The sequence below is a fragment of the Homo sapiens genome, chromosome 8, assembly GCF_000001405.40.
Source record: "Homo sapiens chromosome 8, GRCh38.p14 Primary Assembly".
Taxonomy (NCBI): domain Eukaryota; kingdom Metazoa; phylum Chordata; class Mammalia; order Primates; family Hominidae; genus Homo; species Homo sapiens.
Genome location: NC_000008.11, coordinates 32919367 through 32936022, shown reverse-complemented (window position 1 = coordinate 32936022; position 16656 = coordinate 32919367). Strand labels below are relative to the sequence as shown.

At 39.6% G+C, this 16656-nt stretch overlaps 1 long non-coding RNA gene across 9 annotated transcripts in view, besides 1 other annotated feature; it reads right to left on the bottom strand.

The window, feature by feature from the left end:
• LOC105379362 (uncharacterized) overlaps nucleotides 1-8046 on the bottom strand; it is a 122073-nt gene extending 114027 nt beyond the window's left edge. For 8 of the 9 annotated variants that reach the window (NR_188155.1, NR_188148.1, NR_188151.1 and 5 more), the window contains exon 1: nucleotides 7930-8046. This is a non-coding gene — a long non-coding RNA (uncharacterized LOC105379362). Of the gene's footprint in view, nucleotides 1-7673; nucleotides 7764-7929 lie in introns of those variants that run through there. The other variant, NR_188156.1, reaches the window with a different exon arrangement.
• Nucleotides 7789-7858: an enhancer, noted in NCBI's record as "active region_27217". NCBI's record gives its function as "activates an Ori minimal core promoter by ATAC-STARR-seq in GM12878 lymphoblastoid cells {active_cell/tissue: GM12878}" and the evidence as "EXISTENCE:reporter gene assay evidence [ECO:0000049][PMID:35858748]".
• Nucleotides 8047-16656: the final 8610 nt, after the last annotated feature.

The window sequence follows — 16656 nt, the reverse complement described above, 5'->3', positions numbered from 1 at the left end:
TACATAAGTTATTGGGGTACAGGTGGTATTTGGTCATGTAAGTTCTTTAGTGGTTATTTGTGAGATTTTGGTGCACCCATCACCTGAGCAGTATACACCGCACCATATTTGTAGTCTTTTATTCCTCACCCCCCTTCCACCCTTCCCCCCAAGTCCCCAAAGTCCATTGTATCAGTTATGCCTTTGAGTCCTCATAGCTTAGCTCTCACATAAAAGTGAGAACATATGATGCTTGGTTTTCCATTCCTGAATTACTTCACTTAGAATAGTAGTCTCACCCAATCTCATCCAGGTCACTGCAAATGCTGTTAATTCCTTTTTATGGCTGTGTAGTATTCCAACATATATACACATATATGTATATACGTGTGTGTATATATGTATATGTATATATATGTGTATATATATATGTACACACACACACATATATATATACACACACACCCCCACAGTTTATCTATTCATTGATTGATGGGCATTTGGGTTGGTTCCATGATTTTGCAATTGTGAATTGTGCCGCTATAAACATGCATGTGCAAGTATCTTTTTCAAATAATGACTTCTTTTCCTCTGGGTAGATACCCAGTAGTCGAATTACTGGATCAAGTGGTAGCTCTTTTAGTTCTGTAAGGAATCTCTACCCTGTTTTTCATAGTGGCTGTACTAGTTTACATTCCCACCAGAAGTGTAGAAATGTTCCCTGTTCATTGCATCCACGGCAACATCTACTGTTTTTTGATTTTTTGATTATGGCCATTCTTGCAGGAGTAAGGTGATATCGCATTGTGGTTTTGATTTGCATTTCCCTGATCATTAGTGATGTTGAGCATTTTTTTCATGTTTGTGGCCATTTGTATATTTTCTTTTGAGAACTGTCTATTCATGTCCTTAGCCCACTTTTTGTGGGCTTACTTATTTTTCTTTACTGATTTGAGTTTGTTGTAAATTCTGGATATTAGTTCTTTGTCAGATATATAGATTGTGAAGATTCTCTCCCACTCTGTGGGTTGTCTGTTTACTCCACTGACTGTTCCTTTTGCTGTGCAAAAGCTCTTTAGTTTAATTAGCTCTCAGAAATACCTTATTATTCATGGCTATAGTATAAGCTGTCCTATTCTACTTTCTTTCTAACCTTGCCCTCAAATTGGGAAGGAAAAGGTGAAAATGGGAAGGAACTTCAGTGACAAGTGTAAAAAGGGAAGGTAGACTGAAAGAGACCCCGTGTGAGAGAATGGGATATAAAAAGCTGCTTTATTAAACTTTCCATTCTATAGATTTTTTTTCCCTAAAAAAGAAGTTATCACATAAGAAAGAAAGGTGAAGGCAGATAAAGAATGGGCTTTCAGATGTTTAGGCAGGCCACTATTAATCAAGTTTTTTCAGCTATAAAAAGGAATGGTTAGTATCAACTGTATCCAGCTTCTGGAGGGAAGATTAGGTAAGATACTCTATAGAGCTCTAGAAAGTAATCCTGCAGAAATATAAACTATTACTGTTACTTTATAGATTTCCAGCATTCCACTATTGACTCTTTGGCATCTAGGACAATGTTCATTATTAAAATTATGGGCCAGGTGCAATGGCTCACAACTGTAAATCCCAGAACTTTAGGAGGCCGAGGTAGGTGGATTGCTTGAGCTCAGGAGTTCAAGATCAGCTTGGGCAGCATGATGAAACACCTAAAATACAAAAATTAGCCAGGCATAGTGACATATACCTATAGTCTCAGCTACTTGGAAGGCTGAGATGGAAGAATCGCTTGAGCCCAGGAGGTTGAGAATGCAGTGAGCTATGATTGTGCCACTCGCTGCAGCCTGAGCGACAGAGAGAGAGAAAGATCCTGTCTCATATTTTAAAAAGCCCTTTATATCGTATTGGGAAAAATGACCAAAAACCATACAAGTTATTTATGGCAAGTTCTGGCTGACAACAGGACTGTCCAGGAAAAAAAAAAGTGTTATAAGATCAATTGGTATATTCCTTATTAATGACAAGGAGTTGTAATCACCAATATGGTCTTCTGCACTATTTCTTGAAGAAAACTTCAGCAAATCATTATAACTTTGTAACTACTACGGCCCTTCTTAAAAGAATCAGTACTAAGACAGAAAAAAAGAAATCATTAAAAAGATGTGAGACTTTGACAAGAAACTTGTTCAGAAGAAAGTTCTTGGCCTGTATCCACTTACCTATATCTTCTGTTCATTTCTCTCTCTTTCTGTGTATGCTTCTATTTAATATCCTATCCTTGACCTTGGTAATTCGTGGTTGGTTCTATGGTAATGGCTGCTGGAGAAGTAATCTGATTTTTTGCCTCATCTATTTTTAACATCCTTTTCCTAATGTCTTATCTATATACACTACACCAGTGGCAACTTCCTCCTGGTAAAGAGAATATATACTTCCTGAAAGGCATCATTTTGGGTTCTACAAATGTCTCTAATGTCCCTTCTGCTAATATAATCACTCCTGCAGGTGGCAAATAGTATTTTGGTCATTAAGGGCATGAATGAGAACTGTAAAAGAAAAAAAAATGTATGTATAATTGAAGCCCAAGGTATTAAATCCATGGAAATATTCTATTGCCTTTTAAAACATCTATAGAAGTGTACTTCTCTAGAGGCAATAACTGAATGAAATGCCCATTCTTGATGCTATTCAGAGACGTCAATTTGCATAGTCAGAGGTGTAAGGAGGAGAAGAAGGTACCAAGTAGCCCTGGTAGAACTTTGTAGAAGTTCATGAAAGTAAAATATTTAAATAAGCAGAGACAACAGGCACACAATGGCTGTACTAAAGAGGTGCAGTCTGATTTTCTCATGACCTCCTTCCCCATATGAGAACCCAATTTCTTAAAAAAACATGATTGAGACGGTTCAGCAAAGACCAAGAAAATCAGATGAAAAACTATAACTAAGTGACTTACACCGTGAGCCACAGTTACATGTCACTTGGGAAACTAACATTTGTAGAATTTACAATCACTTTCAACACTGGATCCTTACACTGTGTTGAAGGTATTATTTTGATTAACTTCCCATTTTGCAAATAGAATTAAGAAAATAAGACTCAGATGTTAAATGACTGGCCCTTTACTTACAGTTAATGATGGAGTTCAGGACATGCCACTCCAATATATGGCACTTTGCCATTTGAGATAACAGCAGAAAAACGAAGGCCACTCTCATCTTTCCTTGGTCCTTCTCTCCCAAAGCAGGTTCTTTCCAGAGGCACCTACTCTATACTTGGATGATAGGCATATCCTTATCTCTGAAGATATAGGGACACAGAGAAGAATCTGGACAAACAGGCCTTGCTAAGTTTCCCCAAGTTTATTACCATTAGATCATGCACCTTTATCTAATCATGCTTCTTTTCCAAGGTCACTTCTTCATCAGACTTAGCATAAAAATACACAGGTTTATCCATTTCTTCATGACTTCATTTCCTTATGAAGGCTTCTGTGTCATGTACAACTTATATTAAATTTGTATGCTTTTCTCTTGTTAATCTGTCTTTCTTTACCGGGGTCTCAGCCATGAACCACGCGATGGATAAGAAAAGATTTCTTCTCCCCTACAGTTTCTTCTCTGCTGCACTACTAAACACAAAGCTAGGACTATCTACAAATACCATGCTTTTCCATTACCTTCAAGCGGTTACCTATGTTGGGGGAAGGATACTCCATGCATGTGAAATGACAGATAATTAAACCAACACATAAAGGGAACACTGGATGAGTCTCCTCACTCTGCTGACAGCACAGCTGGTGCAGGCAGCATAGCTAACTGTTAGTAGCTGGCTCTCATGCAACTCTGAGACTAGTTTGAAGAATTCCTATAGACCTCATCTAGTGGTACACCCATACAAAAACACCATTACGTGTGTAGAACACATATTCATTCAATCTGCAAGCCACGCTTGGATTCCCATTCCACTTGTTTCCAATGTCTGCACCCTGGTGCAGATAAAGATTCCTCAGGCTCCTTTGGTCTTGGCTTTTCCTGGCTTTGAAAGGTACACAAGACCTTGCAACTCTCTGTCTCTCACAGTCACTGCAGGTATTTTTTAAATCTTTATTACAATGATTGAAAGGTAGAAAATTCACAGGTATCCCTCTGTGTTTGGAGAACCTTACTGAATGCTCTCTGAACTTGGCATTTGGACTTTTAAAGACTCTCACCATTTATCATAACCATCATTGTTCTTCCCTGGATTTTCCTGAGAGGTGTAGCAACTGGTTTTTGAAAGATTAGGATAATCAAAAAGGATGAAGAGGCTTTTCAGGTGACCCTATTCAGCTTGTTCCAAATTACTTTTGGGGAGAAGACATGAGATTCTTCTCTCCCCCATAATAAGTGTCAGCTATTCTATCATTGTTTATAAACCATGATCTAAGCTTTCCCGAGTGCCTCATGCCAGGTTCCTTTGCTTTTCTCCATTAGCATATGGTTACATGGTGTTTATGCTCCAAGAAAAAGCCCTTGAACAACTCTACTGTCAAACGTGTGTTTTTTCCTAAGTGGGAGGTCAATAGCATTTCCATATCCCCACCCGAAAGAGAAATGAGATGTTGCATGTGACACCCACTAATCATCTACTTTTCAAGGTTTGATTTGGTAATTTTCTCTGAGGATGAAGCAGCTGACAAAAATGCTTTCAAGATGGAAAGGGGGCTTGTAAACCTGCCTGACTTATTATTTTCCGCCTGAAAGTAATAAACATCTGTTTGCTTGATAAAGTAACCAGGTTCGCATTTGAGGGAAACAAAGCTATTTAGTTGGCTTCCAATTACTGATTTCTCTTGAGAACATTACCCCAAGGGCTCTGGGCAGTGAAATGCTGAATATCACCTCATCGTCTCTAGATTCCCCTATACAATCTGTCAATAGCCTAAATTCCATGCCATGAGACATTTTTTCATACTATAAAATGCTGGCAAATGCTGTTGAGCATAGAAAAAAGGAAATAGTTGTTTACTTTAACTGAGATATTAGACAGGGGCAAAACTTAGAAATTTTTTTCATATGTCAATGGATCCCACTTTTAAATAGCCAGAAGTCCAAAGAAATGACTAGATCTCTTTTGAGGTCTAGAAAGAGGTGAAACTTTTGTTTTTATTGTTTGTGTGTTATGTCTGAGTCTCGTTACCACACTTGGAAAACTTATACTCTCGGCTCTTGATTAAGTGTATTCTATAATCTGTCATCTTAAAACTAAAACAATTGTTCTTCATTTCTTTCAACAAATTGTTTGAGTAAATTTATGTGCTAGACACTCATTTAGGTACTTTAAAAATGTTAGAAAACCAAAACCAAGCATCCTTGTTCTGCTGAAAACTTATACTCCAGGTAATAAGTATCAAGCATAATAAATAAGAAGATTGCATACTGCAAAAAAAAAAAAAATTTAAAAATTGAGCAGAGTCATGGAAATCAGGGAAGCCAGAGAGAGGTACTGGATGAAGGACAGTTGCAATTTTAAATAGGGTAATAAGGATAAGACTCACTGAGAAAATGACATGTGAACAAAAGCTTGAAAGAAATGTAAGAGCTATCCACACAGATACTCAAAGAACAGCATTCTAGGGACAAGGGAAGCCCAGTGCAAAGGCAAGAAGGCAAGAGCGTGCCTGGAAACTCCAAGGAGCATCATGGAAGCCAATATGCCTGGAGAGAAACGATCAAGCAGGAAATTAGCAGGATACAAGGCCAGAGAAGTAAAGTTGGGAAGGGTAAGAAGAGGGGTGGGCTATGTAGACACCTTTAACTGATATAAAAACTTTGGCTTATTCTTTGAGTGAAATGAAAGCTTTTACAGGATATTAAACAATGGAGCCATAAGAACCACTTCACATTTTAAAAGGGTCACTCTATCTGCTTTTTCAAAATAGACTGCATTAGGTAACAAGTATGGAATCAAGAAATTGTTTCAGAGACTATTGCAATAAATCCAAGCAAGGAGCTCAGTAAAGGGTAGTAGCAGTAGTAGTAGTAGTAGTAGTAGTAGTAGTTGTTGTTGTTATTGTTAGTAGTAGTACTAGTAGTAGAGGTGGTAAGAAGTGTGACATTCTGGATATATTTTGAAAAGTCAATAGGAATGCATGTTAGCTTGGACATGAGGTATGAAAAAAAGAGGTAAGTCAAGGATGACTTCAAGATTCTTGGCCTAAGCAACAGGACGGATGGAGTTGCATCAACTGAGATGGGGAAAACTCCAAGTGAAATAAATTTAGGAAAGAATATTTGAAGTCCAGTCTTGAACATGTTATGTTTCAAATGTCCATTAGATATTCCAGTGGAGATGCTGCATAGGATGCTAGATTTATGAGTTTGGAAAGATCTGAGATGGAGGTATAAGTCTGGCATATGTATGCTATTTAAAGCTATGCTGCTATAGGATGTCATCAAAAAAGTAAATGTACATAGAAAAGAGAACCAAAGATTGAGTCCTGGAGCTTGCCAAAGACGTTAGAGATAAGAGGAAGAACCGGTGAGGAGGGCAGAGGAGTTGTTAGTGAGCTGGAAGAAAAAACAAGAGAATGTGGTGTTCTAAAGACCAAGGTACAGAAGCCGTATCAAGGGGGAGGGAGTTATAAAAGTACCAAATACTAATGAAAAGGTGAAGACTGGAAACGCCCAATGGATTTAGCAACATGAATCACATTGATGACCTTGATGAGGGCTGATTAAGGTGGAGTGGGTCTAACAATGAGAAAAACACAATTGGAGACCAAGTAAAAAAAAACTTGAGTAATTTGTTTGAAAATAAGTACAAAAACTGGAGTGGAAGTTGGTGATGAGGGGATGGATTCAAACTAAGTTTTTTGTTTTTAAAATTTAAAAACATGATATTTGCATGTTATGCTAATGGAAACAATTCAGGATGGAGGAAAAAATGATGCAAAACTGGAGCGCATTCATGAAGAAATACTCTTGGGTGAGCAAGAGCAGATGGGATCTGTTGCAATGGATGGAATGGCACTGGATGTGAGTACAAATATTTCATCTATGGCTATGGGCAGGAAGGCAGAGTATGTAGGAAATGTGGGAAAGTGCGTAGATGTAACGGTGTGAGTCTGGCAGAATCTCTTTGGAAACCTCTTTCAATAAGGAAGGACGCAAGATCATCAGGTGAAAATGATGAGGATAGCGGAGGAATTTTTGAAGGTTTGAAAAAAAAAGAGTGGCTAATTGTTTACACCTTTGATACTCAAAGGATGGTCATTGAACCAGCAGCATTGGCGACACCTGGGAGGCTGTCAGAAAAGCAGACTCTCAGGCCTCAGAACTCCTGCATCAAAAGGTCCATTTAAACAGGATCCCCAAGTGTTTCATATGCACCTTAAAGTTCGAGAAGACCTGACCTTTGCAGGATATCATAGTAAAAAAAAAGCATAAAGAACATGAGCTTTTCAGCCAAATAAATTGAACTCTAACTTATGTGATTTTCAGAAAATTACTTAACCTCTGTGTGAGTTTCCTTATCTGTAAACTGGGGAAAACTATTAATATTAGCACAGTAGAAATAGAAGTGGCAGTAGTAGTTGTTGTAATGGCAACCACAACAGGTAACATTCACTGAGCGCTCTATCAGTCAGGGGTTTGGCAGGAGGCTGGAATTCACTCGGGTGATTTCAGTAAGTGGCTCTTAACTCTGGCTTCATTACTTACAAAGCTCTTAGACAACACCAGCGGCCAGAACCCACCCCAGCCAGTTGCAATAATCTCTGGGAATGCCAGCCCAGGCACCGGTAGTTTTCAAAAGCTCCCTTGGTGGTCACGTGCAGCAAGGGTTGAGAACCACTGATGTAAGTTAATAGTCTTTAGTGAAGGGCCTACTTACAGAGATTTGGGCAGCATTAAGGAACCAAAAAATGGCATGTTGAAGCACCCAGGTACCAGCAAGAGAGGCAAGGCATTAACTTACATGGGGTTGGAAGAACAAAGGAAGAAAACAGTGTCTCTGCTGCAGTAGAGGAAGGACCACAGGTAGAGGTCGGTAGAGGTCAGCAATGGAAGCGCTGGGTTGCTGCCAGTGAGAGAGGCAAAACTCGGAGGGGGCAGGAAGGAAGTTCCCTACCCTTTCTTCTCCCGCCTACTGGTTCCCTGACACTTCCTCCCATTGGCTGGCCCCTAACTGAAGCTGGCTCGCAAGGGAATTTGGGTGATGTAGTCCTATGTAGAAGTCCTATTTTCTGGGAAGACAGCAGGCCAGAGAAGATGGGAGAATGACTGGCGGGGGAGGGAGTCTTGCTAAGGGGTCAAGTGGAGAATAAGTACAGGCACTTACTACGTGCCGGGCCCTCTTCCAGGTGCTTTGCATGGATTAACATTTTAGTAGATGGCTTCATTATTTTTCATTAAAACTCAGCACTTTTTTTATTGAATAAGGAATTGTTCCAGGTCAATTCATTATTGGAGACAGTTAAATATTTGTAAGTTTTCAGATGCACCATTCCCAGAAGAGTGCATTAACTTGTTTCTCCGTGGTCAGGCTGAGAGCCCAGGGCTCAGCATTTGCATTCTCTAGGCCAGCAGGGCACACCTACTAGGTTCTTGACAATGAGTTGGTTGCAGGAGAGTAATTTGGGTGACTAAACAACTTGCCTTGGTCCTAACGACCCAGCTTTCCAATTTGTCTTAGGAAATACATGATACAGTGGGCCCGTAAACTGTGGATCCTGCAAGAATTCTATGACCCATTACGTGCGTGAACTAGATGAAGACGTCTACAGGATCAATGATAGTTATAAAAATTCTTTTGTTATCTGTTGTGAGATATATTTTATATAATGAACATCAATTCTTGGAAAATGCACAGCAAATACATTGTTCAAAGGCAGGAGACTTTGGGAGGCCAAGGTGGGCAGATCACCTGAGGTCAGGAGTTTGAGACCAGCCTGGCCAACATGGCAAAACCCAGTCTCTACTACAGATACAAAAAAATTAGCTGGGTGTGGTGGCAGGCGCCTGTAATCCCAGCTACTCAGGAGGCTGAGGCAGGGAGAATTGCTTGAACCCGGGATACGGAGGTTGCAGTGAGCTGAGATCGTGTCACTACACTCCAGCCTGGACAACAAAGCAAGACTACATCTCCAAAAAAAAAAAAAAAAAAAAAAGACAGGAGAGGATAACTGGCTGGAAGGGGCAGATGAAGAGCCCCCATCCAGTAATGATGCAACACATAAGGTAATCTGGGTCACAGTTTAAAGCTATTTAAAAGTTGGTCGGGTGCAGTGGCTCATGCCTGTAATCCCAGCACTTTGGGAGGCCGAGGTAGGTGGATCGCCTGAGGTCAAGAGTTTGAGACCAGCCTGGCCAACATGGTGAAACCCTGTATTTACTAAAAATACAAAAATTTGCTGGGCGTGGTGGCCTGCACCTGTAATCCCAGCTACTCAGGGGGCTGAGGCAGGAGAATTGCTTGAACCCAGGAGGCAGAGGTTGCAGTGAGCCAAGATTGTGCCATTGCATTGCAGCCTGGGCGAAAGAGCGAGACTTCCTCAAAAAAAAAAAAAAAAAAAAAAAGAAAAACTATTTAAAAGTTAACCAATGACATTTAAAAAGAATTTCTACTCAGAAGGGGGAGTTATACTCATTTGGACCCAGAGAAGAGCTGAAAGCAAAGCTTTGATGAATTCTCAGTTGACTGCGGGAACACAGCTGCTGAGTAAACACTCAACACTAGAGCAGGCAGTGTGGCAGACAAAGCTCATCTCTGGCCCCAACTGCTTTCCTGTGCAGTGATCCTGTTCTGCTTATGGATCAAAAAGATGTAGTTCAGGAAAGCAAGGTCTGGGACTGAGAACTTGAGATGGAGGCAGAGCTGAGCCATTGATTAGAAGAAGCACAAGTACATTTTATAAAGGGCATTTCTCAAGGTCCTGCTACCCAGCATTTTGCTTCATCTGACTCCATTCATCATAGTCTTGCCAATGGTTATGTCAATCTATTGCCTTTAAAATTCATGTGATTTTGGAGAACATATTCTGAAGAGACCATATTTCCTTAAAACAACTTATCAGTATGATTGTTTGTCTAACACAGGATTCCCAGATACCTAATTAGAGTTTCATTCTAACAAGACCACACTGAGCTAATCCTCTTAACAGTGTTAGCTGGCATATCATTTAGTTACAAGTTCCTAGAAAAAAAGAAAAGTCTTTTGCTCATAGGCATTCCTTCCCAATAATGGGATTCAAGCACTTGTGGCAAGTCTATGAGAGAGAAAAATTGTTTTTAAATCCCACTATACTTAAAACTGCTTAGTCTCCTTTTATATCCAGATACCCTAGGAAAGAGGTAATGAAGACTGTGTGTCAGCACTGGTGATATTTATTTAACATGTGTTATAATCCCAGCTGACACTTTCTAATGAGTTTATTGCCACCATAGAGTTAAAGCTCCCCCACTCAATAAGCATAAACTCCAGTGTCAAAAATGAAACATAGGCAGTCCTGATGCTTAAATGACCTGTATCGATTCTCCGGCAGTCTAACTGCTGTAGTCTGGTGCCAGTCCTCTAATTTGTGCCCTGAAGTGTATAGCATCACTTGATTTAGATGTCAGATTAAGGCAGCACACCAGTTTGAAAATTCAGCTAAAATATTCTAGAGAATTGGTTTGGATATCTTCACCTCACATTATAAAAATCATTGCTCTCACATAAACACGGGACTATTAATATCATTCTCATTGACTTTTTTTGAGTGTGTTTTATCAAAGGAAATGTCCTCACAGTCAAAGCTTGCTGTGTTTTGTGCTTTATCTGTACAGCAAATTCCATTTAGAGAAATTTAATGCCAAAGCTGAAAGTTCTGCATTCCTAGGGAATGACTATTTAGGGCATTGTCTTTGAATATGAAGTAAACACACACTCAGAATGTTTGTACGAAGCTCCTTCAGTGGTCACAATATGCTCCCTATTCTTTTTTTTTTTCTTATGAGACAGAGTTTTGCTCTTGTTGCCCAGGCTGGAGTGTAGTGGGGCCATCTTGGCTCATTGCAACCTCCGCCTTCTGGGTTCAAGTGATTCTTCTGCCTCAGCCTCCCCAGTAGTTGGGATTACAGGCACCCACCACCATGCCCAGCTAATTTTTAGTATTTTTTAGTGGAGAAGGGGTTTCACTATGTTGGCCAGGCTGGTCACAAACTCCTGACCTCAGGTGATCCACCTGCCTTGGCCTCCCAAAATGCTGGGATTACAGGCATGAGCCACCGGGTCCAGCCTATGCTCCCTATTGTTAAGCATCAAAAGACTTAGACACTTAAAAGATGCTGCAAAGCACCACTGTGTTCATGGTTATATTCTCTGCTTCAGAGAAATCATCTAGCATTTCCAAAGTCAAAGAGAATGGTTGAAGAACTAGCAGTGTAAAAATTCACCAAATTTCTACTTAATGCTAACAAAACACAGGAAAAGCTAATTATCTCTCTCAAACTTAAAGTAAAAATTTGGTATACCTGGAATTATAATATACATTTTGGACACTTTAAAGAGCTAGAAGGCTGAGCATGGTGGCTCATGCTTGTAATCCCAGCACTTTGGGAGGCCAAGGCAGGTGGATCACTTGAGGTCAGGAGTTCAAGACCAACTGGGACAACATGGTGAAACCCTGTCTCTACTAAAAATAAAAAAAAATTAGCTGGGCATGCTGGTGCACACCTGTAGTCCCAGCTACTCGGTAGGCTGAGGCAGGAGAATTGCTTGAACCTGGAAGGTGGAGGTTGCAGTGAGCCAAGACCGTGCCACTACACTCCAGCCTGGGTAACAGAGCAAGGCTGTCTCAATAATAATAATAATAATAATAATAATAATAATAATAATAATAATAATAAAAGAGTAGAAGGGACTTTGAAGATCAGCCACTCTTTACAACAAAGGAGACAAAAATTCAAAAAAGGTGAAATGACTTATTGAAATTATAGAGCTTGCTAAGAGGTAGAAGGAAGACTAGAATTCAAGCCCCATTCTCCAAAGCCCCATTCCCCAAAACCTTAACTCTGGTAGATCAACATTTCGCTAGAATGTCATGAGTTTACTTTAATCTTGTTATTTCTAGAGAAACTGACTTGACCTCCTTTCTGTTGAAGTTTGATATTGTTATAAGACAACCTGGACATTGTGAAAAATTTGTTAGCAAATAGTTCAGATTTTCTGTCCTTAGAGAGTATATTGTCCCAAGTTTCTCAGTCTATGGATTTCCTTATTTTTGAAGCATGTGGTATTTCAGCTCTAAAATATTTGATCATACACAGTGTTATATAAATGCATAGGGTTAGTTTTACTCCACACTCTAGTGGTGATGAGCAGGTGTGTAATCAGAAAACCTGAGGCTGCTACAACTAACTATCCTGGCGATCAACAGTAGAGGCTTTTCAAAATAGAGCAATGACACCTGTATGTTTATCACAGTATAATTCACAATTGTAAAGATATGAAAACAACCAACTGCCCAACAGCCAATGAGTAAAGAAAATGTGGTATATATACATCATGGAATACCACTTAGCCATCAAAAAGAATGAAATAGTGTCTTTTGCAGCAATAATGTCTTTTGCAATCCATTATGCCACTCTGTATGCCTTTGCCTAACCATAGCTTATCTCCCACTTATAAGTAAGAACATATGGTATTGGGTTTTTCATTCCTGAGTTACCTCACCCATTATTGTAAGTGAGTACTTGGGAGACTCAAGAAGGGAGAGGGTAGGAGGGGAATGAGGGATAAAATCTGCGTATTGAGTACAATATGCATTATTCAGGCGACAGGTGCAGTAAAATCTCAGACTTCACCACTATACAATTTATCCATGCAACCAAAAACCACTTGTACCCCAAAAGCTATTGAGAACAAAATTTTACATTAAAAATATAGAACAGTGAGTATTAGAAAGGGACTTTCTTCGGTTAAAGTAATGGCCAATCAATACTAATTGTATAATAGGTGCCAAAATGAGTTCTCCAGCATGAAATGGGTGGTTTTCAAGATTTGTGGATAAGCTGAAATATTTTAGAGATACTCCATTCTTGCATGAAAAGGAGTCTAGCAGATTTTTCAAATTTACCCTTAATAATGGCACCTGAGGCTCCAGTCCTAAGTGTCTCTGTGTCCAGCTGGTAGTTCAGAGGGCTGTGTCCACAACATGCCAACTATAAGCTTGACAACATCTTCCTTCAGAATTTTCTCATAGGCTTCATATAAAGCATTCATTCAGAGTGGTCAATTCTTCAGCAGTCTAACGCTGTAATCTGGTGCCAGTCCTCTAATCTGTGCCCTGAAGAGTGGTTAGGGAACAAAGAAAAGATTGTATATAGAATAACCAAAGACCCTGGTTTGCTCAAGACTTGGGTGTTTCTTGGACTTGGGATTTTAGTGCCAAAACTGGGACAGTTCTAGGCAAAGGGAGACAGTCACCCTATTTATTACGCAGTTCTATGAATTACGTACTTGTTTACTAATAAATGATAGTCTATTATGTCAGAATTTCATCTGACACTTGTTTTAACTTTACAGATTACCTGATCACAAGTTTGTTATGGAAAAACCTAGAGTGCTCATCTATTTCTAACTCTTGGCACAACCAGTATCTAGTTTTTAAAAACCTGATGGTTTTTGTGGCCAGATTGATTTACGTGCATATACAACACATGGAGATGAATGGGAAACACACATCCATGTGTTCCCAATGGATGGGAATTTCTTGTCACAGTGATCTGGGTATTTTTATACCTATATCGTTATACGCATATACATCTACACACTCAAACACAAACAAAAAACAAATGCAAAATCACCTTGTCACAAATAAAGAATATAGGTAGATGATACACAAACACTAATCAAGTTTTCTTATGCTTTTGTGGTTACTGCTATGAAAACCTTAACTCTCTATGTAATACAAATTTGCAAAGAGAGGAAAACCTCAAGGATTCCTTCCAAGCAAAGTTTTGAAAGTTGTTCAAAATGTGACTGTAATCACAACTTCATTTCCTTTAACACAGAGGATTGCCCTCTTATATGTAATGAAATGAGAAGATAGCAATTTGCTTTGGCTCTTTTCTTAAACAGTGATTATTTTCTTGCTTCATGTAACTTCCATAGACATTAATGAGAAAGGCAAACAAGCACTAAAAGTGTGTGTTTTCCAAAAAAAGGATGCTTCTTAGTATATTTCATAGGCTGAACCTTGGAGAATTCACCACTTTATGACCTGGACAACTTGTGTCCTAATGCAACAGCATCACTTACTGGCAACCTCACCAAGTGTCCATATTCTAATACAACATGACCTGAGATGATCACTTTGGATCAAGTCAGACTATCTCCAGTTGTCTAGATGGTCCTTTTGATGGCCTGGATCTTTTATTATTTTACTAATACTGTTTTGAGCATAGAATACTTAGGCCCAATGAAGTTGTGGGGATTGTGCTTCAACTCAATGCTGTTAAAATTATTACAGAGAAGATATCCTAAAGGCTTAACATACATTGAAAGGCAAACAGCTGTAGCCACTCGACTTGCAAATTAAAATCCTAACTGTGAATTTCAACAAATTAGATGAATTTAGCTAATTGTCTCTACAGTTTGTTACTGATGAGTCACAAGCTTCGACAAATTTCTGGCATTTCAGACTCAAAGGGACCTTATTCACAGGTACCTGCTGAGGACAGACTATACTTTGAAACTCTTTTGCTAAGCAGGTCATGACAAGTCCTGGATGACCTTCCATCTCCACCACAGAGCTTTTCATCCAGGTGCACTCTGAAAAGCAAAGTGAGCACTTGCATCACGAATCCAATCTTTTTTTAAGGATTGTGCAATGCATCCCATATCACCATCCCCAGCCTCACCGCAAGAGTGTAATCTGAATTATGCATATGATCATCTTGTTTCTTCAACTCATTTAGGCTTTTGAGAATAAAGGAAGAGAGGATTCTGTGAGAGTTTCAGATTTGGCCTTCTAGAGCATGTTATATTAGACAAAACAAGTGGGATAGGAGATAAAATCAAGAATTATCAGTTAGTGATTGAGTTGGAAAATGTATTTCAAGAGAGGGAAACTTGGGGCTATTAGAGGTTTCTTACCCATAGAACAGGTGTTTAGCTACACTTTGGGGATGGGTTTTCAATGGCAAATCTGGGAAATGACCCTGGCATCTGTAGTACAATTGGTGGAGATGTGAAGTGACATGCACAGCCATAGATGGGAGGCATGGCTCCACTGCATACCCTGCATTTCCCCTACCTCTCTGGTCCCCAGCTACAAGATGGAGCTAAGACTATCTGTTGCTGCTTGTTCATGACACAATACCTTTTCTTCCACATACACTGCTCAGAATTTATTTTTTCCTTATCAGCTTCCTGGGATGTTCATTTTAACCAGAATTCACCGGGTTATAAATAGGGGGTGAAAGGGGAGTGGGAAGTATCACTCTTGGGACTTGTTGGAGCTCTTTATCCAAGATATGACCTTGTTTAGACCCTGGATTTAGTAAGAAAAAAAAATCAGCCACCCAGCACACATTTCTAAAGATAACCTTGTCCTTTATATTTGCAATTCACTAACACATAGCGGGCAGGAAAATGAACCCTCAATCAACCAAATAACTACTTTTCATTAACTGGGTCAGTCTTTAAACCTGGAGAGCTTAGCTAAATTGAGACCTAAATATAAATCTATCAGGTGGAAATTCTGAGATCTAATTCAATCATACTCAAATATCTTTTTCAATGAGCAGACTGAAGAGTTCAGGAATTACTTTAACTTCAAGAATGCATCCCTTTTGAACTTTGCAAGGAATGGTTTTTCAGTGGCGATATCTAAAATATTAACAACATACCAGTTACAATGGGCTCAACCACACATCAGCAAGGCTACGGGTTTTCAACACCTAGTGCACTGAATAGCATGTTGGCCTTCAAATCAGCCCTGATGCTCTGTGGTGGTTTCACAAGTCCTAGGATGCGGAAAACTTGACTCAGTTTCTATTCCATGATCTGACATGTTCTAACATGTTTGCCTGTCCCACACAGGAACTAGAGAACACAGAGTCCCATCTTTATCCAAGAGGCCAGGTGGGGCTAACTCCTGCATTTCATGTCCCTTGGGCTGGGCTGTATCTGAAACTGCTGTGAATGGTCTGGCTTCTTTTAGACAGCCTGAGATAGAAGGGATTCACTGCCTTTTTTCAAAGGTCACTTGGTCTATTTTACAGACTCCCCAAAGATAGATATTATGAGACACAAATTGCTTCTCCAAGGTTTGAAGAGTCATGAAACACATGATGTTAGGCCCCAACCACTTTGGTACCCATTACCAGCTCCAAATATAAAACCTTCTTTCTCAGTGACTGGCTTTCTCAGCTGGTGGTGAGGTGCAGAGGACCAGGTGCCCACTCCAAAAATAAAAACACATTAACCACATCCACCATGCGACTAATACTTTTCTCAGAAGCAGCCATAGCCCATGGAAAGTAAGTGACGAACCCATCCAACGCTCTGTGCTTTATTCTTAAAAACTCCACTTGTTGGCATAACTTGGTACACTGCTCTGTCTCTGGGTTTTCATTTTCTTTGCATACATTAGAAATGAAAGCAGAAGTGTCCCCCAGACACCCATCACATTAAAAAAATGCAATGCACGAAAATTTG